This window comes from Homo sapiens, chromosome 1 (genome assembly GCF_000001405.40).
Source record: "Homo sapiens chromosome 1, GRCh38.p14 Primary Assembly".
Lineage (NCBI taxonomy): Eukaryota > Metazoa > Chordata > Mammalia > Primates > Hominidae > Homo > Homo sapiens.
Window position 1 is genome coordinate 246,473,824 of NC_000001.11, and position 19,818 is coordinate 246,493,641.

At 40.7% G+C, this 19,818-nt stretch overlaps 1 protein-coding gene across 3 annotated transcripts in view; it reads right to left on the reverse strand.

Annotated features, from left to right (window-relative positions):
• Positions 1–19,818, reverse strand: part of SMYD3 (SET and MYND domain containing 3) — a 757,933-nt gene that overhangs the window by 724,477 nt on the left and 13,638 nt on the right. The window contains exon 1 of one of the 3 annotated variants that reach the window (XM_047428020.1): positions 7,362–7,743. The exons of the other annotated variants lie outside the window; for them this stretch is intronic. The gene's annotated coding sequence lies outside the window, so the exon portion shown is untranslated. Of the gene's footprint in view, positions 1–7,361; positions 7,744–19,818 lie in introns of those variants that run through there. 3 annotated transcript variants of the gene reach the window in all.

Consider the following 19,818-nt stretch of genomic DNA (forward strand, 5'->3'; position numbering starts at 1 on the left):
CCTGCAGGTGTACTTGTCCAGCATTCCCATGAGACCAAATGAGGTTTGTCTTTGTTGCCAAATTTTGCAGCAGCCGATTGTTGCCATCTACCCAAGCCACTTTTCAAATGCTCCATCACTAATAAAGCTGAAATTGTAATTTTCAAAAGATAACAAAAAAATCTGCTAGGCCATTTAAATTCACCATACATAATACCTACCAAAAGTTATTAACAATTTATTTTTAATCTAATCCTATAACATGCTTACTAATAGTTAACATCTAAATAAATTAATTGGAACAGGATTCAAAATGTTCTAATTCTACATCGGAGTGTTTTCAGCTTTTACCTAAACTTTGAAGTCTGTAGTCTTATCCCTCACAGATAAGACAGGCATTCAGTTTTAAACAGTTCTTATAGAAATTTAGAAGTGGGCCGGGCGCGGTGGCTCATGCCTTTAATGCAAGCACTTTGCGGGGCCAAGGCGGGTGGATCATGAGATCAGGAGATCGAGACCATCCTGGCTAACACGGTGAAATCCTGTCTCTACCAAAAATACAAAAAATTAGCTGGGCGTGGTGGCACGTGCCTATAGTCCCAGCTACTCAGGAGGCTGAGGCAGGAGAATCGCTTGAACCCGGGAGGCAGAAGTTGCAGTGGGCCAAGATTGAGCCACTGCACTCCAACCTGGACAACAGGGCAAGACTCCCCTCTCAAAAAAAAAAAAAAAAAAAAAAGAAATGCAGGAGTAATGAGGTTTCACTACTTGTTTTTAAACTGACACTAAACAATTATTAACATCAAATAAATTCTATGTATAGAAATACAAAATATAAGGATTGAGTTTTTAATCTCTACTATATATAAAATAGGACTCTAACAATTACTGCAGAGGTCAGCAACTCCAAGGTTTATGGAAGGAAAAGGGGAGACAGGAGACAGAGGGCGTGGTATTGTCTGCAGGTCATTCTCTGGCTTTCTTTCCAGTATCTCCCTTTCTCCTTCCCTCCCACTTTCCAAGAAGTTGCTACTGTATGAGGAAATTCTGTCAAGTAGCAGGAAGGGGAAGGCTTTGAGCCTTGTAGCTAGGACTGGTAAGAACTAAGAAAATTGGTCCTATCTGTGCTATCAGATTAAGGAGGGTGTCGCCTCTGGTACTTTTGGCAAAGATGGTCAAATCCCCAACTACAACCTCACAGTGATTTGTGGCGCATTAAAAAGTTTGTACTTGGTCGGGCGCGGTGGCTCACATCTGTAATCCCAGCACTTTGAGATGCTGAGGTAGGTGGATCACCTGTGGCCAGGAGTTCGTGACCACCCTGACCAACATGGCAAAACCCCATCCCTATCAAACCCCTGTCGACTAAAACACAAAAAATTAGCCAGGCATGGTGGCAGGCGCCTGTAATCCCAGCTACTTGGGAGACTGAGGGAGAACTGCTTGAACCCGGAAGAGGAGGTTGCAGTGAGCCGAGAGCCCACCACTGCATTCCAGCCTGGGCAACACAGCGAGAGACTGTCTCAGAAAAAAAAAAAAAAAAAAGTTTGTACTTTTTGGCCGGCAGCCATGGCTCACACCTGTAATCACAGCACTTTGGGAGGCTGAGGTAGGTGGATCATTTGAGGTCGGGAATTCGAGACCAGCCTGGCCAACATGGTGAAACACCACCTCTACTAAAAATACAAAAAAAAATAGCCGGGCATGATGGCGCGTGCCTGTAGTCCCAGCTACTCGGGAAACTGAGGCAAGAGGATCGCTTGAACCAGGGAGGCAGAGGTTGCATTGAGTCGAGATCACACCACTGCACTCCAGCCTGAGCGACAGAGCAAGACTCTGTCTCATTGTATTGCCCAGAGTGGAGACCAGTGGCACAATCTCGGCTCACTGCAACCTCCACCTCCTAGGCTCAAGCAATCCTCCCGCCTCAGCCTCCCGAGTAGCTGAGACTACAGGCATGCACCAACACACCAGGCTAATTTTTCATATTTTTGGTAGAGACAGGGTTTCACCATTAGCTCAGGCTGATCTCAAACTCCTGAGCTCAAGCAATTCACCCACCCTGGCCACCAAAAGTGCTAGTATTACAGGCGTGAGCCACCACGTCCAGCCAAGTTTTTACTTTGAAGCAATAGCTAAAATAGATTTTATTCACACTCAAAGCAAAGGTTATAAGCTATCTAGATTTTGTTATTCTATGACAGGTAATATAGAAATACAGTTCAGAAAGATAATGACAGTATATGATCCTAAAGCTATTTTTCTTTCACTTTACCAACAAATTGTAATGTTCATTCTAATGAATATGGACATTTTATTCTATAATTACACATCAAAGTATACAGTGTACTCTATATTTTAAAAATATCTAGGTAATTCTAATGGAGTACTTCCTACGAACTCCTCTAAACATTGCAAACGTACCATCATCGTCACTGTTTTACAGTTAAGGAAACTGAGATGCAGAGGTTAAATTACTTGCCCAATGTCACAAAGTTAGTAAGTCTCAGATTCAGGATTTAAACTGGCTCCACGGGCCAGTCCAATCCACGCCTCTATGCCTCTCGGGCTTTAATAGGCATGCACATCACCTGGAGATCTTGTTAAAATGTAGATTCTGAGTTAAGTTGGTCTAAGACTGGGCCTGAGATTTTACATTTCCAAAATCATTTAGTTACACTGATGCTGCTGGTCCACAGACTGTATTTTAAGTAACAAGACTGTAAACCACTTTGCCCTGCTACCCAACTAAGCATCAAGAAAGGGGTGATATTTAACTCAGATCCTAACAATCTAAGCAAAGAGGCAATTATATCTGCAATTCAAATACAGAACCAAGGGGCTGCTTTCAACCTATATGAAGACTTTCAATTTACAATAAAATTCAAGACCCAACTAAAAAGAACTTGATTTGTTCAATGTCCTTATTTTTCTAGTCTAAGGACAAAAGCCTATTTCTTCCTGTCCCCATACAAACACAGAGAAGAAAACAACTTTTTCTTTTTTGCAGACAAGCTTTTCCAGTTGGCATTTGACTAAAAATTACATGTAAAAACAAATACATCAAGTAAGACACAAAACTCTTGACTATTCAATTATCAAATACGTCACAAAAACCTGTAAAAGACAGCTTGTCTCTGGAACACTCTAGCTCAGCAACTTTTTAAAGGAGGGATTAGAGAAAGAAATTGTTCCAACTAGTCATGCTTCTCTATTGAAAACAACATGATTCAGACCTGACATTTAAAGACATCTCTGATGTGAATTGAAACCAATTTTCTTCTTTCAATCTAGACCAAAATTAAAATGTTTAATTCCTATTAAACTTAAACCTCATTTCTCTTTCTCAAATTCAAGCTATTTCTAAAAACTTTCTTGCACACTCCCTTTTAAGGACTATTCAGAGTTTTCTTTGTGTATGCATCCTATTTTCCCACCTTATAAGATACTTAGATAAATATAATCAATGAATTTGTTAGGTTTTAAAATTAACATTTAGTCTTACTGATACCTAATTACTATAATAGCTTTCTCCAACGGGTACCATGATGTCAGAAAAAAACACACATACATACTAAAATCATCTCTTAACACGACTATATTCTAACACTGTTTTTGAAAACCTAGAGAAACTACCTGAGACAAGTTTAGAAGGGAAATATCATTTATAGCACACCTACCTGAAAGTAGGTGCAGGCTTTGCAATTAGGCAGACCTGGGTTTACATTCACCTTTAGTGACTGTGTGACCTACGGGCAGATTTATCTAAACTTACTATGTCATAGTTCTTTGTTTTACATGTAGTAAATTCAATTACATAGTTACAGCAATAGATATTATAGAACCATTTTTATAAAAGGGAAAATTAAAGCTCATGGAATTTACACAACTTATTGAATCACCTAGTAACTGGAAAAATCAGAATTTGAGTCCAGCTCTATCAGACTCCAATGCCCAGGGCTTCTCCTGTGAGCCATATACGGCCTGTGGAGTTACTGACTGCTTAACTGAGGTAACAAGTATTTCCCACACTCTCAGAATGAATCTGTAATTTAAAGAAGCCTATAACTCTACTGCAGCACAAAAGCCACCTGCGTCTACACTACTGGTACTAAGACAACCAACTATTAAATATCAACTAGCTAGGAAATAAACATAAAAGTCAGTCTCAGCTAACCCAAGAAATATTAATACATATGTAGATAAGGGCAAAGATGACTGAGAGAATTTGCTTCTAAGGTCCTCCCAGTCTTCATACTAACAAACATCTGTTGAGGACCTACTGAGAACATATGTGGCTAGGTACCCAGTTACATTTTACCTAACATTATGACACGATCAAGACTAAAGACCAAAACAATTTAAAAAAATTAACTAACCTAACCTAAACCACAATAAGAGTTTCTACAACTGATGCTTTAAATGATAGGAGATTTCACTGCATCTTTGGACAGTCACCTAAAAGTAGAAGTAAATACTAAGGATACTCTGTGTAACAGAGTCAGGAGGTGAGAAAGCACTGGTCTATGCACACATAAGTGCTCATATATGCACACCTGTCCTCTGTCCTGGAGCTGGTACATAAGTGCTCATATATGCACACCTGTCCTCTGTCCTGGAGCTGGTACATAAGTGCTCATATATGCACACCTGTCCTCTGTCCTGGAGCTGGTACATAGGTGCTCATATATGCACACCTGTCCTCTGTCCTGGAGCTGGTACATAAGTGCTCATATATGCACACCTGTCCTCTGTCCTGGAGCTGGTACATAAGTGCTCATATATGCACACCTGTCCTCTGTCCTGGAGCTGGTACGTAAGTGCTCATATATGTACATCTGTCCTCCGTCCTGGAGCTGGTACGTAAGTGCTCATATATGCACACCTGTCCTCCGTCCTGGAGCTGGTACGTAAGTGCTCATATATGCACACCTGTCCTCCATCTGGAGCTGGTACGTAAGTGCTCATATATGTACACCTGTCCTCCGTCCTGGAGCTGGTACATAAGTGCTCATATATGCACACCTGTCCTCCGTCCTGGAGCTGGTACATAAGTGCTCATATATGCACACCTGTCCTCCGTCCTGGAGCTGGTACATAAGTGCTCGTATATGTACACCTGTCCTCCGTCCTGGAGCTGGTACATAAGTGCTCATATATGCACACCTGTCCTCTGTCCTGGAGCTGATACATAAGTGCTCATATATGTACACCTGTCCTCTGTCCTGGAGCTGATACATAAGTGCTCATATATGCACACCTGTCCTCTGTCCTGGAGCTGGTACATAAGTGCTCATATATGTACACCTGTCCTCTGTCCTGGAGCTGGTACACAAGTGCTCATATATGTAAACCTGTCCTCTGTCCCGGAGCTAGTGCATTAAGTGCTCATATAGTTACACCTGTCCTCTGTCCTGGAGCTGGTACAAGATCATGGTTCATACTCCAGGAATGAGGGCTAGAAGACCTGGTTCCAGATCCAGCTCTGTCACTCACAGCTGTGTGACCTGGGTCAAGTAACCTCTTTAAGCCTCAGTCACTTTAACTGCCAAATGAGTATAAAAATAGCACTTAATTTACGAGGTTGTTCATTTAATACACTTTTGTTGAGATTACATCTTGCCACTGGCATCCTGCTAGGCATTGTGGATTAGGTGTTAAAATGCACGTGATGTGTTTGGCATGTGTCAAAAAGCGGGATTTTTTTTTTTTTTTTTTTTTTTGAGACAGGGTCTTGCTCTGCCACCCACGCTGGAGTGCAGTGGCGCAATCTCAGCTCATTGCAACCTCTGCCTCCTAGACTCAAGTGATCCTCCCACCTCAGCCTCCCAAGTAGCTGGAACTACAGGTGTGTGCCACCACACTCAGCTAGTTTTTAAAATTTTTGTAGAGCCAAGGTCTCAATATATTGCCCAGGCTGGTCGTGAACTCCTGGGCTCAAGCAATCCTCCCACCTCAGCCTCCCAAAATGCTAGGATTACAGGCTTGAGTCACGGCACCCAGCCCAGAGCAGGGATTTTTGTCTGTTGTGGTTCTCTGCTGTATCTTCAGTACCAACAACAGTGGCTGGCACGTAAAGTCTCACATTAAATATCTGCTGTATCTTCAGTACCAACAACAGTGGCATGTAAAGTCTCACATTAAATATCGCAACAAATACTGAAAAAATTGTTTAGCATCAGGTGGGTCAGAAACTACTCCCCCGACCCTTGTTTGGATTCAGCCTGTGTATTTTTAGGTATCACTAAAAGAAGTTCAAGGATCTTTTTTTAATTTCTTTTTAGTTTTTATAACAGCTTCATAGAGCTATAATTTGCAAACAATAAAAGTAACCCACTTAAAGTGTACAATGCAACCATTTTACATTCACAGAGTTGTGTCTGCCTTGTTTTAAAGACAGGGTCTCACACCATGTTGACCATCCTGGCCTCAAGTGATCCTCCTGCCTTGGCCTCCCAAAGCGTTGGGATTACAGGAGTGAGCCAACACACCCAGGCTCTTTCATTTTAAAAAGAGAAGTCGGGCTCCTGAGACTCCATGTGTGAGTTTCTGTCACACGTATTTAAAGTACTTTTAATTGAACATTTTCTGTAACAAAACACTAAAACATACAAAGAAGTAAAGCATAATGCACTCTCATGTACTCATCAACCAATTTCCATAATTATCAACTTTTTTTTACTATATTAAAATGTTTCAAATACCTTAGAAGGTTAGATTAACAAACACCTCTCTATTCAGACACATCTAGTTCCTATTCCGAGAGAAAGGGGAAAAGATATAACTACATTATCTGACACAACGGTGGCTCTTACGTCTGCTCCCTTACAAAATGTCACTGTACAGCAAAAATAATTTTTACCAGCAATGAGTATCCATAGAAAACATAGTAATCAATCCCCCATTCCCTTCCACTATGCTATTTTGGGTCCTTCTGACAAAATGAAAGTAAATCTCAATGCAATTATCCAAGTTACCTTTTTTCAAAAGATCTTTTTTTTTTCTTTTTTGAGACAGAGTCTTGCTCTGTCACCCAGGCTGAATGGAGTACAGTGGTGCAATCTCGGCTCACTGCAACCTCAGCCTCCCAGGTTCAAGCGATTCTCCTGCCTCAGCCTCTCAAGCAGCTGGGATTACAGGCGTGTGCCACCACACCCAGCTAATTTTTTGTATTTTTAGTAGAGACAGGGTATCACAATATTGGCCAGGCTGATCTCAAACTCCTGGCCTCAAGTGATCCGTCCACCTTGGCTTCCCAAAGTGCTGGGATTACAGCCACTGTGCCCATCCAAAAGATCTCTTTAGATCTCAAGTTCTATAATAACTAACAGAGAAAGAGCAATACACATAGACTATAGATGTAATTAATCTGTTCCAAATACCTTCAATATGCCATCTTCCTTCTGCAGATCTGTAATGGTTGATTTCACATGTAAACATGACTGGGCCACAAGATGCCCAGATATGTGGTTAAACATTATTTTTTGGTGTGTCTATGAGGGTTTTTCTGGAAAAAAAAATAGCATTTGAATTGGTGAACTGAGGAAAGCAGATTGCCCTTTTAAATGTTAGTAGATATCATCCAACCTGTGAGGGCCCAATTAGAACAAAAGAATGGAGAAAGGGTGAATTCTCTCTCTCTCTCTCTGATTACTTGAGCTGAGACATCAGTCTTCTCTTGCTCTTGGACTGAGACCTAAACCATCAATCCTCCTGGTTCTCAGGCCATTGGACTCCACTTTCCTGGGTCTCTAACTTGCAGAGAACGGATCATGGGACTTCTCAGGCTCCATATATATATATATACACATACATATATACATACATACATACACATATTCATATATGATCATATATATAATTATATATATAAACTCATATATGAGTATATATGATCATATATGATTATATATATATGAACTGATATGAGTATATATATGATCATATATGATTATGTGTATCCATAGAAGATATATATATATAGAGAGAGAGAGATCGATCGATCGATCAATACTCTACTGGTTTCTCTGGAGAACCTTAATACAGGGGTTCAAAAAAATTCCATAACTTCTGGCTGGGTGTAATGGCTCACACTTGCAATCCCAGCACTTTGGGAGGCCAAAGCAGGAGGATCACTCGAGTCCTGGAGTTCAAGACCAGCCTGGGCAACATAATGAGACCCTTTCTCTACTAAAAATAAACAAAATTAGCCAGGAATGGTGGTGTACACCTGTAGTCCCAGCTACTGGGAAGGCTAAGGTAGGAGGGTCATTTAAGCCCAGGAGGTCAAGCCTGCAGTGAGCCATGATCATGCCACTGTACACCAGCCTGGGCAACAGAGCGAGACCCTGTCTCAGAAGCAAAAAAAAATTCCGTAACTTCTAACATCAAAGTGATCCTCAGTTTGCCATGAGAGGTAAAATGGTGGGTCAGCCCAGGGCATATAATCTTTACACTAATGGTTATCACCTAAGGGCAACATGCAGAAAGCCACAGCAGTGCTCCTTAGTGATAGGATCCTCAATGTTATAGATACATCCTCAATGTTACAGATGGTGGTACTTCTTACCCCCATATAAATTGATTTATCATGTGTCTACATCTATCACATACATAAGCATCATGTGGCACAAAGTGGTATTACCCCAGATTTTTTTTTTCCACAGTTACAATGGTTGACGAAAGCCACTCTGTCGCCTTTCCTGGCCTACGTCAGGGCCAAGTTCAAACCCTCTCCCTAACTGCAGATTAGCAGTCATGGTGGGCTCTCCACAGCTCTCACTCAGAGGTGCCAGTACACCTCCCTGCACATACAGCGGGATAAACAGCTAGGCAATCTCAGTCAAGTGCTTTCTTCTAAAGAAGGGCCAGCCCCTGAACTAAAAGACATATAATTTTGGCCAATAAAACTAAGGTAACAAGTTCCATATGTTTTATAAACATAAGATACGATAAAAAACACAAAGTGCTCCAGTTTCAGATACAGGGAAATCAAGGCCATATACTTCTCAGTAGGGGAAACGTCCAACAAGATCCTGGGAAACCAGCAGTTGGGGATAGAAAGAGGCAAACACTGCTCCACAGACAAGGGCAGACCAAGGAGCCTCTGATTCCCCAGAGTCTACAGTTATATGCAGATCTCTCAAGGGGATGAAACTAGTTAACCCAAATTTCAGGTTTCTTCTGACTTAGACCATATGTCCTTACAGCACCAGGTTGAGCTCATTGCCCCTCTCTTGAACCTAAACAAAGCCCAGCTGCAGACTTAGAAAGGATTTACTGTTCATAACAACAAAACTAATTTTCTACTGTACCCAGACGATCTCCTCTAAAAATGTTCCTTTTTAAGTGACCAAGTTAAAGGTAAAGGATGACTTCCCCCTCGATGATATGTATATTTCAATTGATGTGCCTGAACATTAAGAGTTAAGCTGTTGATAAGTCCTTGAAATCAGGCATTCTCATAAAACATTCACATTAATTCAAGCAAAACATTAAAGAGCATTACATAATGAGTCATACTAAAATGGCAATGAAAAGAACAACCATTAAGACACCCAGAGTATCAGTTTAGCTCCAGTTATCATTTATAGCATGAAAACATGTCTTGAGACTAACATCAAAACACTTACCTCAGCCCCCAGAAGTATCCTGTTCTTCCCCTTAAATACACAACATTTACCAAAAGCACTGTTTTACGCAAATACAAAAGGCTAATCTAAAAATGAAACTAAAAAAACTTATTTGGAAGAATATTCACTAAGCTATCTCTATTGCAGATGTAAAGCCTTAAAGGACCATTTAAGGGAAAGGGAAGGCTGTATAATTATGTAATAATGTTCTCTGATACAATTGTGGCTCTCACATAAGCTTTCTTAAAAGAGAAGAGCTATGAACAATTAAGATGGCATAGCACAGGAAAAAAAAATGACCAGCAATGAGCATTCACATTCTTTCTCCTCTCTCATCCTCTCTGCTTTTTGGGACCTTTCCAATAAAAGGAGAGCAAATCTAAATACAATCCAAGTCATTTTGTGGTTAATTCCAAATAATGTTCCATATTTTAATAAATCTACCATTGCTTTTTCACAATTGTAACAGATGCCACTCCCAACTCCTTAGATGTGAAACCTAAAAACATATCACTTCAACCAAAATACCTAAACTATTGTACTAGTTACACCTAAAAACACATCACTTCAACCAAAATACCTAAACCATTGCACTAGTTACACCTAAAAACACATCACTTCAACCAAAATACCTAAACCATTGTACTAGTTACACCTAAAAACACATCACTTCAACCAAAATACCTAAACCATTGCACTAGTTACACCTAAAAACACATCACTTCAACCAAAATACCTAAACCATTGCACTAGTTACACCTAAAAACACATCACTTCAACCAAAATACCTAAACCACTGCACTAGTTACACCTAAAAACACATCACTTCAACCAAAATACCTAAACCACTGCACTAGTTACACCTAAAAACACATCACTTCAACCAAAATACCTAAACCACTGCACTAGTTACACCTGAAAACACATCACTTCAACCAAAATACCTAAACCACTGCACTAGTTACACCTGAAAACACATCACTTCAACCAAAATACCTAAACCATTGCACTAGTTACACCTGAAAACACATCACTTCAACCAAAATACCTAAACCATTGCACTAGTTACACCTGAAAACACATCACTTCAACCAAAATACCTAAACCATTGCACTAGTTACACCTGAAAACACATCACTTCAACCAAAATACCTAAACCATTGCACTAGTTACACCTGAAAACACATCACTTCAACCAAAATACCTAAACCATTGCACTAGTTACACCTAAAAACACATCACTTCAACCAAAATACCTAAACCATTGCACTAGTTACACCTAAAAACACATCACTTCAACCAAAATACCTAAACCATTGCACTAGTTACACCTGAAAACACATCACTTCAACCAAAATACCTAAACCATTGTACTAGTTACACCTGAAAACACATCACTTCAACCAAAATACCTAAACTACTGCACTAGTTACACCTGAAAACACATCACTTCAACCAAAATACCTAAACTACTGCACTAGTTACACCTGAAAACACATCGCCTCAACCAAAATACCTAAACTACTGCACTAGTTACACCTGAAAACACATCGCCTCAACCAAAATACCTAAACTACTGCACTAGTTACACCTGAAAACACATCGCCTCAACCAAAATACCTAAACTACTGCACTAGTTACACCTGAAAACACATCGCCTCAACCAAAATACCTAAACTACTGCACTAGTTACACCTGAAAACACATGACTTCAACCAAAATACCTAAACTATTGCACTAGTTACACCTGAAAAGACATCACCTCAACCAAAATACCTAAACTATTGCACTAGTTACACCTGAAAACACATCACTTCAACCAAAATACCTAAACTACTGCACTAGTTACACCTGAAAACATATCACTTCAACCAAAATACCTAAACTATTGCACTAGTTACACACTACCAGAGTTTTATAGATAAAATCCTGTCTGTACATTTTTCCAATTTCCAAGATAAATATCATTTTATTATGAACTCACAGCATCACAGAATGTATAATTACTGTTGACATGTGAAAAGTTTCCAACAGGAATGAAAAGCTTCATTAATAATAAAGATCTAGCCAGATGCGGCGGCTCACACTTATAATTCCAACACTTTGGGAGGCTGATGCAAGAGGATCACTTGAGGCCAGGTGTTCAAGCCCAGCCTGGGCAATACAGTGAGACCCCCCCCCACATCTCTACAAAAAAAATTTTTTTTAAATAGCTGGGGGTGGTGGTTCGTGCCTGTAGTCCCAGCTATTTGGGCTGAGGTGGAAAGATTGCTTGAGCCCAGGAGTCCAAAGCTGTAGTGGGCTAGGATCACACCACTGCAGTCCAGCCTGGGCAACAGAGCAACACTCTGTCTCAAAATAATAATAAAAATAATAATAAAGATCATGGGCTCTGAGTGCAGACAGAATTAGCTACATAATTTGAGCAAGATATAACTTCTCTGAACTTCACTTTTCTTATCTGTAAAACAGGAATAATATAAAGAGAGACCTCAGAAGATTTTGCAAGACTAAATGAGATAATGCACACTAAAGCCCATGGACTCATTCCTGACAGAAAGCAAGTATTCCTTAAGTGTTGACCATCATCCTCCTCTATACTGAGTAAAATGTATCATTACTGCTTACTTATCAGTCACATATAATATCCCAGGCTTTACGCTGGATGCTGAACACTTTATCATAGATTATCTCATTTGTTCTTTTAACTAATCTTATAAGGTTGTTTTTATTATTGTTGTTAACCCCATTTTACCAATGGGAAAACTAAGGTTTAGCTAGTCAGTTTGCAGGTTCATGAAATTAGTAAACGGCATCATCAGAACCTGGACCAGAATCTATCTGACAACAAAGCTCCTTAACAGATATGACATAAGTATTAACAGGTTCAAATTCCTCTAGAATGGGTAATAATAGAAGATTCCATACCCAAGTATAGGTGATATTCATCTAATAACTACCTGAACTTCTGACCTTTTAGGCCAAAAGTGAAAAATTGAAACCCCACTCCAATTCTTGAATTGATATTTAATCTCTAAAATATTTATTTCAGGGATAAGTGTGAAGATTATAATACCTCACATTTATATAATGCTCTGGATTAAGTCATTTGCTCTTCACTAAAATCCTATGACACAGATAGGAATTATAACCCCATTTCATTCATTCTGTAGATGAAGAAAATGAAAATCAAAGAGATTAAGTGATTTGCCCAAGGTCACAAATCTAGCAAATGGAAGCAGCGCTCAAACCTAAGACTTACTTCTCCAAGTACAGTCCTATTTTTCAGTATACCATGTAGACAAACAGATGAATAATACTAATTAAAAAGTGATCTTCAAAAAAAGTAATCTCACCACCCCCAAAAAAACTAATTCACTCATCATACTCATTCTCATTGATGATCAAAGCAATGGTATAGTTCTCCAATATACAACATTTAAAGAAAGGAGATAAGACTTAGAGGAGCATAACACTGTTCAAAAAGGTAGGCCCATGGACATATAAGGAAAGCAAAAGATCCACTGGTCTCCAAGACAACAAAATAAATAAAATTACCCACCTATACTAATAGAAAATATGGTCTAGAACTATACTGAAGAATTTTGTTTAAATAAGAACAGTCAGAATGGGTAGACATTGACGGTACAAGACACAATACCTGCATCCAAGAGCTTCCAGAGGAGGTAAAAAAAGTATTTAATAATTACTGGTTCAAATAGTTGAAATATGGTTGGGCATGGTAGCTCACGCCTGTAATCCCAGCACTCTGGGAGGCCAAGCGAGTGGATCACTTGAAGCCAGGAGTTTGAAACCAGCCTGGCCAATATAGCCAAACCCCATCTCTACTTAAAATACAAAAATTAGCCAGGCATGGTGGTGCGCACCTGTAATCCCAGCTACTCGTCCCAGCTACTCAGGAGGCTAAGGCAAGAGAATCACTTGAACCCAGGAGGTGGAGGTTGCAGTGAGCCGAGATTGCACCACTGCACTCCAGCCTGGGCAACAGAGCAAGACTCTGTCTGGAAAAAAAAAAAGTTAAAATACAAGGTGGTAAATGTGATAAAAGATACAATGTTCTGAGTACCTGAAAGAGTGAGCACCACCCTAAACAACCAGGAGACAATCAAAGAATGTGTTCATCTATAGAAAGAAAATGTAAAAAAACAGAAGTCTCAAAATACAAGAAAAATAGTTACAAGCAATTTCACCCTACTGCAGAAAACCATGCCCAGTGTCTAACTTAGGCTCCACTCAGATCTTTTTTTTTTTTTTTTGAGATGGAGTTTCACTCTTGTTGCCCAGGCTGGAGTGCAATGACGCGACCTCAGCTCACCACAACCTCTGCCTCCTGGGTTCAAGTGATTCTCCTGCTTCAGCCTCCCCAGTAGCTGGGATTACAGGCATGCACCACCAAGCCCGGCTAATTTTGTATTTTTAGTAGAGACAGGGTTCCTCCATGTTTGTCAGGCTGGTCTCGAACTCCCAACCTCAGGTGATCTGCATGCCTCAGCCTCCCAAAGTGCTGGGATTACAGGTGTGAGCCACCACGCCTGGCCCTCCCTTTTAGCATTTCCTATGCATGGTGGCCACATGAATCATGTGACCTCGTAATAAACTGATCTTCCACAAGTGCCTCATTCATTAAATCCTGCTCATTAAAAGTTGGGCTCCAAACTACAATTAAATCCATGTATTTGATCTGTGACCGAAAAATTATTATATTAAAGGTAGTTATTACACAGGTAATTTCATTAAAAAGAAGTCTGGGCATTTTAAAATAGACTTCTAGAATCATCTGCCAGCTTGACTTGTACATCTTGACTGAAACTAACAGAAGAAAGGTATTACTATAGATCTCTGATACAGAAAGGTCAAGTTCAAGAAATTCAGTCAAAAAGCAAAAACAGAAGAAAGTGAAGGGTGCTCAGAAAAAGTCCAAGCTAAGCACAGAAAAAAATAACAGAGATTTAGGCTGGGCGTGGTGGCTCATGCCTGTAATCCCACTTTGGGAGGCCGAGGCGGGCAGATCACCTGAGGTCTGGAGTTCAAGACCAGCCCTGACAACCTGGTGAAACCCTGTCTCCACTAAAAATACAAAATTAGCCAGGTGTGGTGGTGCATGCCTATAGTCTCAGGTACTGGGGAATCTGAGGCAGGAGAATAGCTTGAACCCAGGAGGCAGAGGTTGCAGTGTGCCGAGATCGCACCACTGCACTCCAGCTTGGGTGACACAGTGAGACTCCGTCTCAAAAGAAAAAATAAAAATAGAGATTTTAAGCAGGCTGTTATTTACAACTGCTGCAAATATTCATATAAAACTACTATGGATTTAGCCCTAGTGTCCTCAAACTTTAGTGCCAATAAGACCAATAAAGTAGACAGAAGACAGATTGCAAAAGGAATGCGTCTCCATCCTGTAGGTAAACAGGTATCAAAATTTTATGAGTACCAGCGTCACCCAGGGAGCTTGGCAAGAATGTAGATTCTGTGCCTTAAAACACTAGATATTCTCCGGAGAGGCACTGAGAGCCAGATTTTTAACAAGTCCTCTCTCTCTCTCTCCACCTCCCACTCCCCAGTCATTCTGAGGGAGGTGAATGGTAGGTCACTTCTGAAGAAGCAATGCAGGCCGGGCGCGGTGGTTCACACCTGTAATCCCAGCACTGTGGGAGGCCGAGGCGGGCGGATCACGAGGTCAAGAGATTGAGATCATCCTGGCTAACATGGTGACACCCCGTCTCTACTAAAAATACAAAAAATTAGCCGGGCGTGGTGGCGGGCGCCTGTAGTCCCAGCTACTCAGGAGGCTGAGGCAGGAGAATGGCGTGAACCCGGGAGGCGGAGGCTGAGGTTGCAGTGAGCCGAGATCATGCCACTGCACTCCAGCCTGGGCGACAGAGCGAGACTCCATCTCAAAAAAAATAATAAAAGAAAAAGAAGCAATGCAATATTTCAGGTACTATCCTAGTACTTTTGTGTGTGTTGTCTCATTTACTCCTCATGAAGATCACGAGGTAGCTATTTCCCTATTTTATGAATGAGAAAACAGAAGCCCAGGGTTTAAGAGGCAGAAGGTTAAACAACTAAGGAGAAAGAAAAAGGACAGAAAGGAAATTTGCTCTATTCGACAGCGATTTCAAAGTATTCTAAATAAAGAAGCTGACATTCTAAAACATCATTAAAAACAAAAGTATCAATAGATCAGAAAGCTTCAATATCTTGTGTCATTCAGAGAGAGAGAGAGATGTGGAAGGCCAATATTGAAAGTTATAAATAACTGTTTAAATATTTAAAATGCAACTCAGCTGTTTGTAGTAGGCTGTACGTAAGCCAAGGTAGAGGCTGAAAGTACACTGTATGAAGTTATTTATGCTTAAAATTTGCATTATTTGAGCTTGAAGTCTTTATTTTTTTTGAGACAGAGTCTCGCTCTGTCACCCAGTGGAGTGACAAAATCACAGCTCATAGCAGCCTCAACCCCCCAGGCTCAAGTGATCCTCCTGCCTCAGCCTCCCAACTACCTGGGACTAGAAGTACGACCACCGCACCTTGCTAATTTTTTCCTTTTTTTTTTTTTTTTTTTTTGTCAGGACAGGGTCCCGCTGTGTTGCCTAAGCTGGTCTGGAGCTTCTGGGCTCAAGTGATCTCACCTTGACCTCCCAAAGTGCTGGCAGTATAGGCGTGAGCCACTGTGCCTGACTTAAGTCATTTTCATAGATGAATTAAATAACCACCTATAAACATTCGCTGTGACATACTATTTCTGGTGACTACACAGAATTATAGATTTGATACTAATAATTCAGCCAGTGACCCTAATCTTACTAGCTTCCATAATCAGTAGTACCAACTAAGAGTGGTAATAATAATCAAGAGAAGGAGTCAGTTTCAAAAAATACTCAGAAAATGTCTCAGATGTTATCTGCAGACAGAGTGCTCTGATAATCCTGCAAATTTCAGTCACTGAGACATTTATTGAACATCCTTGTGTACTTAGCAATGAACTAGGGTCTTGGGATTCACAGAAAAATAAGACAAGGTCTCCGTCCTCAAGAAGGCTAAGACCACAGGGCAAATAACTAATAAAACCTAATAACCAAATTAAGACCTAAATTATATAATAATACCTAAATTCCACCGACCAATCGCTGAGGGCTGGACTCAATGGCTCACACCTATACTCCCAGCACTTTGGGAGGCCAAGGGGAGAGGACTGCTTGAGCCCAGGAGATCAGTCTGGGCAACACAGTGAGACTCTGTTTCTACAAACAATTAAAAAATTAGCCAGGTATAGTGGCAGGCACCTGTGTTCCCAGCTATTCTGGAGGCTGAGGTGGGAGGATCGTTTGAGTCTGGGAAGTCAAGGCTGCAGTGAGCCATGATCATGCCACTGCACCCCAGCCTGGGCAACAGAGTGAGACCCTGTCTCAAATTAAATAAATAAATGGTCTTTTAAAAAGATCAATCAATGAGAACTAAGTAGAGCAAGGAAAGAACACGTATTAAGTATGAGTACCTGTTATACACAAAATACTTCCACATGTTTTATCTCTTTTAATTCTGAGGATAATCTGAAGAGGCAGGGTTCAAGATTAAGAAAACAAAGTTCAGAGCTGTTAAGTAGTTTGCCCCAACTCACATAACTCATAAAGAGGATAAGACAAGGGAAAGCACCAAAGTGAGAGTAAGTATGACCGGTTCACAAGGCACTGAGACCAGTCAGACTAAAACACAGGATACACTGGGAAATAAAGCTGGCCAGAGTTGGGCCAGATTAGAAAGGACCACTAGTTATGCTTGATGAAATAAGAATCTGTCAGCCGGGCGCGGTGGATCACGCCTGTAATCCCAGCACTCTGGGAGGCCGAGGCAGGCATATTACCTAAGGTCAGGAGTTCAAGACCAGCCTGGCCAACATGGCAAAACTCCGTCTGTACTAAAAATACAAAAAAATTAGCTAAGCATGGTAGCGGACACCGGTAATTCCAGCTAGCGGGGAGGCTGAAGCAGGAGAATCGCTTGAACCCAGGAGGTGGAGGTGGCAGTGAGCCGAGATCGCACCATTGCACTCCAGCCTCGGCAACAAGAGCGAAACTTCGTCTCAAATAAAAAAAAAAAAAAAAGAGAGAGAAATAAGAATCAGTCATTAAAGGCATATTTAAGGAAGACTACTAATATGGCAACACTTCATAGAACAGATTGCAGTAGGGAGGATCTGCAAACAGATATAATCAACTAAGACACAGCTCTAGAGAGGAGCTGCCCCTGGCTGATACCATCGGTCCTCTAGAGAGGAGCTGCAGGAACTGACCGATACTATCAGGTAGGCAGGTGTTGCTCCAAGCTGGCCAGGCCCTCACAGGGAGGCACTGGTGTCCTTCTGTTGAACATACACAATTTCACAGAACATGGACCTCAGACAAGGCCACTCTGTGACCGTGATGGATCAAAACGAAAACAAGACCACTCTGTAATCATGTCTGAACGCAACTCTGTTCAACTACCGATGTGCTCCCTGGCTGGACGGCAGGAACTAAAGCTAGAGCCTGTTCTAGGATGGTGGCAGTAGGAATAGAAGAAAGAAAGCAATATAAGTGACATTTCCAAGTAAGAATAAAAAAAACTGTTAGTAGGCAATTCAAGAGAAAAAGTTGAGACTCATACATCGCTTGAGTGGATAGCATCCAACTGAAATATTATAAATCTAATCTATAATATTTAAAATCTATATTTTTATTTAATCTAGTTAAATTAGTCCATGTTTTTCAGACTGAATAAAAGATGATGACAGAAAAATATTTAGTAGGTAATTAGAGATTAAAAAATAATGATGCCTGCGTCCCACCTCCAAAGGCTCTGATTCGATCAGTACTGAGTGTAGCCTAGGCATCAGGATTTTTCCAAGCTCCCCAGGTGATTCCAGTGTGCAGCTAAAGCTAAGAACCGGTATCTCAGAGAACGCCGATGGCTCCTGACTAGGAGGAAAAAGGACAAACGATGGATAGGGTAGAAAGGGACCCAAGAAAGTACTGGGGCAAAAAGGTAAGCGAGAAACAAAAAATGGCTGAAAGACTAGACAGACGATTCCCAGACACAGCAAGAGTCATTTAAATGATGAAAGAGTCACTATTTAACAAACGATAGAAACCAGGCAAGAAGGTTAACACAGGTTTAGATGACTAGGAAACATGACCAACAAGTAAGGCCACTACTCTGCATTAGCAAAATCTTCAGCTAGGAGACTTTCAATCTATGATCCTCTGAGGATGCCTGGATAACAACTACATGTACCACTACAAATAGATGTTAACTGTGTACAGCCTGTTTCTAAATATAGAGGTGGATTCCTCCAGCCCTTTTCCTTCCTAGTGTTCCCACACTGCCACCTCGTGGGTCAGCACTGCAAGGAGCCGGTTTGAACTGGAAGGGATTTCTAACTGGCCCTGTAAATTCACAAGGCAGGTACATGGTAAAGCCTCAATTCAAGGGTTTAATCCTTATGTTTTCCTCTGTTTAATTACAGTGGAAGACAGCCTTAAGGTACATTGTTTCTTTTGTGGGTGATAAGAATTTTCTAAAGTTGATTATGGTGATATTAGTATGTACTTAATGCCACCGAAGGGTACACTTAAATAAATAAAAGGGTAAAGTTAATGTTACTTTATATCACTTTAAATAGGCAAATGGTATGGTATATGAGTTATATCTCAATAAAGCTGTTACAAAAAAAGGAGGAGGTGGCCAGGCACATTGGTCTGTAGTCCTAGCTACTGGGGGGGAGGAGAGGGGGGCTGAGGTAGGAGGATCACTTGAGGCCAGGAGTTTGAGGCCAGCCTGGACAACATAGTGAGACCTTGTCTCTCTGAAAAAATAAATAAATAAAAAGAAAGAGGAGTAGGAGGAGGCAGCTGTAGCAAATACATAAATGGTTTCTAAAACTGCAGAAAACTTAAAAAGGATGTCAGAAATCACTCAATACCTTCATTTCAAAAAGGCAAAACTGAGACTCAGATTAACTTACTTACCCTACTTACCCAGGCAGTAAAAACTAGGCCAAAAAGGGGCACTATTAACCCATTTATGGAGGTCTTCTATGGTCTCCCAATCCTGAGAAGCTTTTTCTCTTAAGCTTGATCCTCAGCAATGCTATCTTTTGCTGCCTAACTTACTACTGGGAGATCACACTCACACCAATGACTTCACA